Source organism: Homo sapiens, chromosome 13, assembly GCF_000001405.40.
Source record: "Homo sapiens chromosome 13, GRCh38.p14 Primary Assembly".
Classification (NCBI taxonomy): Eukaryota; Metazoa; Chordata; class Mammalia; order Primates; family Hominidae; genus Homo; species Homo sapiens.
Window position 1 is genome coordinate 39,638,784 of NC_000013.11, and position 5,449 is coordinate 39,644,232.

Sequence of the window (5,449 nt, forward strand, 5' to 3'; positions counted from 1 at the left end):
TCTTGCCCAAATTCCTATCTAAGGGTTCTGGGGAGACGTGCCCTAGAAACCATAAATTTTCATCAGATGGGTTTGATTTAACCCTGTATATCATGACATAATCTGACTCTGGCATAACATGGAAGAAAATCAAAATGTTTTACCCCAAAATATATTTCCTTGACATTCCTTGAAATTGCCCTGCAAAGTCTCTTGTGGGAAAAATCCACATCCTATAGAGAATCCCTTTTCCTTTTGTTTTCCTTCCTTCCTTTCCAGATCCAGGATATAATCAACTAAGAGCCAGGCACCCTTTTAAGTCCCATAAGAAACATTTTACAACCTGCTCTTTCTGAAGTTTGCTATCTGACAGCTTCCTCTGCACAATAAAACTTGGTCTCCACAATCCTTTATCTTAACCTGAACATTCCTTTCTATGGATCCCAGATCTTTAGACGAACTCAACCAGTTGTCAACCAGAAAATGTTTAAATTTCCCTATAGCCTGGAAGCCCCTGCTTTGAGTTGTCCCACCTTTCTGAATGAAACCAATGTATTTCTTAAATGTGTTTGAATAATGTCTCATGCCTCCTAAAACATATAAAGCCAAACTATACCCCGACCACCTTGGGCACATGTTCTCAGGACCTCCTGAGGGCTGTGTCATGGGCCATGGTCACTCATTTTTGGCTCAGAATAAATCTCTTAAAATATTTTGGGCTGGGTGCAGTGGCTCACACCTGTTACCCCAGTACTTTGGGAGGCTGAGGCAGGTGGATCATCAGAGGTCAGGAGTTTGAGACCAGCCTGACCAACATGTAGAAACCCGTCTCTACTAAAAATACAAAAAAAATTATCTGGGCATGGTGGTGCATGCCTGTGATCCCAGCTACTTGGGAGGCTGAGGCAGGAGAATTGCTTGAACCTGGGAGGTGGAGGTTGCAGTGAGCCGAGATCACACCATTGCACTCCAGCCTGGGCAACAAGAGCAAAACTCCGTTGAAAAAAAAAATGTACAGAGTTTGACCCTTTTCGTTAACACTACAGAACATGGCTGTGGCACTGACGATCTTATACTAGAAAAGCCTGGCATAGGCTATTCTATTTTTAGAGGACTGATTTGGTTTGCTGGAATTCTCATACTAGAACAAAGTATTTTAAACTTAACTATAATGGTATAAGAGTCTTGGAAAGCCACAGCAGCAGCCATTGAAAATCAGCAAAAAAAATTTCATTTGCTTGTAGAGGTAGCTTTGCAAAACTGCCGAGCTTTAGATGTAATTACTCCAGAAGCAAGAGGAACTTGTGCTTTATTAAATGAAACTTGTTGTTTTATATACATACATCAGTACAGGTAGTACAGGTAGAAGAAAATATAAATAAATTAAAAGAAAACCTACAAATCATTGACAGGCTAAGAGAACAAGTTGGGGCTGAACCCAGCTGGCTAAGGAATTTGTTATCTCCTTTTTAAAATTGGCTATTACCAATAATATTACCTATATTAGGACCTTTAGTAATGATTTTTGTTTCACTACTTTTAGGACTTTGTATCCTGAATTGCCTCGTCTGATATGGAACCAATAATTTATCAGCTGTCAAATTCCAGATGATACTCACCCTAACTGCCCAAGATGGACAACTAATCAAAACAAGCTCAGGCCTCCTATTGTTACAGAGAAGGGGTCCCGACGCAGACCCCAAGGGAAGGTTCTTGGATCTCATGCAAGAAAGAATTCAGAGCGAGTCTATAAAGTGAAAACAAGTGTATTTAAAAAGTAAAGGAGTAAAAAATGGCTACTCCATAGAGACAGCAGCCCCAAGGGCTGCTGGTTGTCCATTTTTAAGGTTATTTCTTGATTATATGCTAAAAACTATAATTAGATATTATTGCATTGTGAATTATTTATGCCTCCCGATAAGAGAAGCTGGCTGCCTTCAGCAAAATCCTTTCCTGAAGCTTTTGTAAAACCTCCTGGCCTTCCAAGAAGGTTTGCATCTTTCTACGATTTTTCTCACCATCCTGACCGATCTCCTACACTTTATGACCTGTATCTTGTGCCAACCTCCTATCTCATCCTGTGACCTAGAATGCCTTAATGTCTGGGAATGCAGCCCCGTAGGTCTCAGCCTCATTTTACCCAGCCCCTACTCAAGATGGAATTGGTCTGATTTAAACACCTCTGGCACTAACATCTCCTTTAGACAGAGCAGGGCGAGAGTTCTGTGGTCACAATAGGTAGGGACTATGCCCCAATCAGCATGAAGCAGTTACAGAAGGAAAGACCATCAGTCCCTCTGCCTCCCATAAAGATTTCCCACCCTGTAGAATGCTTTCATGTTTGAATAAATCCCTGCTTTCACTGCTTCATTCCTGTTCCTGTGTTTTATTCCTTTGTTAGTTTGTGTGTTTTGTCCAATTATTTGTCCAAAACACCAAGTTCCTGGAGAATTCATACACAAGGCCCTCCTTCTGGTAACAGCTGGATGATATTACATTTAATTAATAGGTTTTTTTTTTTTAAGACAGTCTCACTCTGTCGCCCAGGTTGGAGTGCAGTGGCATGATCAAGGCTTACTGCAGCCTCAACCTCTGGGCTCAAGTGATCCTCCTACCTCAGCCTCTAAAGTAGCTGGAAGCCTCCCAAGTAGGTGGGTGAGCCACCGCACCTGGCTGGTTTGATATTTCTTGTTGTCAGCTTGACAACCTCCTCTAAAATAAACTTGAACCATAATCCATTCCTGAGCTGGATCACATACAAAAAGATGACCAACTCTATTAAAATCTAAAACCTATCAAAATCTAAGATCACTTTTCATTTTTTAAACGGTATTTTGTACATATGTTAGTCAATAATAACATCTGAGATGGTATATTACAATTATATAATATAATTGAGACACAACAGGCGACTATAAAATGTAACACCATTCTACTTGGAAGTAACCTTTAGAAATGTGGCATTTCTTTCTGCTCCAAACCATAGATTCCTGCTGTTGAAAGGAACTTCAGTTTGATCTTCCACCAAATGGAGAAGTCTCTTCCTTAACATCTCTAGGTTTGTCAGCTGGCCCTTGCTTCACTTCCTCTAGTGAGAGTGAATGTATGACCACCCTCTTGTTGGACAGCTCTAAATGATAGAAAGTTCTTCTTTTCCAAAGTTTTCACAATTATGTTAATCTTTTGTCCATGAATTAGGTATCTCTCATTCTAAAACCATATATTTTCATTTTATCATACTGCTTCCAAATGGATATCTGCTATATGCCAAAAAGTGTGCAGGGTAATTGTTGAGAACAGAAAAATTAATGAGACCTGGTGCCCCTTTTTTTAAATTTTATTTTATTATTATTTTTTTAGATGGAGTCTCGCTCTGTCGCCAGCCTGGAGTGCAGTGGTGCGATCTCAGCTCACTGCAACCTCCGCCTCCCGGGTTCAAGCGATTCTTCTGCCTCAGCCCCCTGAGTAGCTGGGACTACAGGTGCGTGCCACCATGCCCAGCTAATTTTTATATTTTTAGTAGAGATGGGGTTTCACCATATTGGTCAGGATGGTCTCCATCTCTTGAATTTGTATTCTGCCCACCTCAGCCTCCCAAAGTGCTGGGATTATAGGCATGAGCCACCATGCCCAGCCTCTGGTGCCCCTTCTTAAGGGCACCTTATGTTTATAATCTACTCATAGAAGAGATAATACATGTGCATAATTATTTCTACCTCAGATGTCAAAGAGAACTTTTCAATTCTATGAATCTTTGTTCAGATGAGGTTAAAAAAAAATGATACCCCAGACGGAAGGAGGTTTAATGAAGGAGAAACCTGGTAGGTGGTGATACAGGGGTAACAGGGGCAGAACATTGCAGGCAGAAGAGAAGGCATGAGCATGGTGAGGAGGGCAAGCACTGGGCATGTTAAGAAACAGGATTAAAACTCTTGGAGTATAGTAGAAACTAAACATAGGGCAGCAGTGAGAGTGAAATATAGGCCGTGCTGGGGTTGGTTGAGGTCAAGTTATAGAGCACCTGGAAGCCAGAGAAAGCAGTGTGGATTCGATTCTCTACACTAATGTCCTCCAAAGTGGAGCATAAACTCCAGGATGTAGGTAAGAGAATGCATGGGGGTGTGAGAAGATGTCAAAGCTTCTGCTGAGCTTTAATTTTTAATCTTAAAGGTAAAAAAAGCAGTATGAAATGTACTCTATTGGTTGAATGCCTTCACTGTCTACATTTCAAGGTCACATGTTGCATTTCATGTACAGTAGAGGAGGCTTCCTGAGGGTACCGTGGAAGCTCCATAATGCTGAGAGGTTGAGGGGAAGCTTCACTTTTTGTTGCCTTTCATTGAGTTTTCAGGTTATGAGGGACCCAGTTAGTTGGCATTATAGATTATGTCATCTAATTTTAACTAAATTCGTCTTTACAAAATTACAGATAGATTTAAAGAGATTCCTTTAGAGAAGCCACAGATTGAAAATAATACTCAAGGTCGGGTGCGGTGGCTCACGTCTGTAATCCCAGCACTTTGGGAGGCTGAGACAGGCTGATCACAAGGTCAGGATTTCGAGACCAGCCTGACAAACATGGTGAAACCCCGTCTCTATTGAAAATAGAAAAATCAGCCGGGTGTAGTGGCGCGCACCTGTAATCCTAGCGACTCAGGAGGCTGAGGCAGAAGAATGGCTTGAGCCTGGGAGGCGGAGGTTGCAGTGAGCCAAGATCACACCATTACACTCCAGCCTGGTCCAGCCTGGGCCACAGAGTGAGACTCCATCTCAAAAAAAAAAAAAAAAAAAAAAAAAAAAAGAAAAGAAAAGAAAATAATACTCATAATACAATTACAAATAAAATATGGTACAGCTGACCTTCCTTTGATTCCAAGTACAAGATATTCAACACCCACATTACAAGAAAAAAACAGTGCTAATCGGATGAGGTCTGACAAGAAATACTATTCTAAAAGTGACAATGAAATATGGCTATAGATGCAATTTTATTTAGGTGAACCTTCTTATAAGTAGTATTCAGTAATATATATTGTGACTTTGTGAAATGTTGAGACGTTTCTTTCTCTGTTTTTTGCCATGTTAGTGTTCAACTTGAAACTAGAATAGCTACTTTCCGTTGCTGTATCACAAAGTATTAAACAAAGGCTTTTAAAAACATACATACAACAAAGCATATACATAGGTTTAAATACGAATAGATATATAAAAATTATATGACTATAAAATATTTAATACATATATTATGTGCACATTATAATATTAATGATAAAAATTTAGAAAGCCAAAAAGTTTTTTGAAACATTAATAAGTAAAAAAAAATCATTGAAAATATTTTTATTTTCACTGTATCTCAACCATTAAAATTTTTAGGCCTGTTTAAGAATGTACCTGAAATGCTATGTTTTCAGCTTCATTTAAAATAGAAGAGACCAGGTGCGGTGGCTCACACCTGTAATCCCAGCACTTT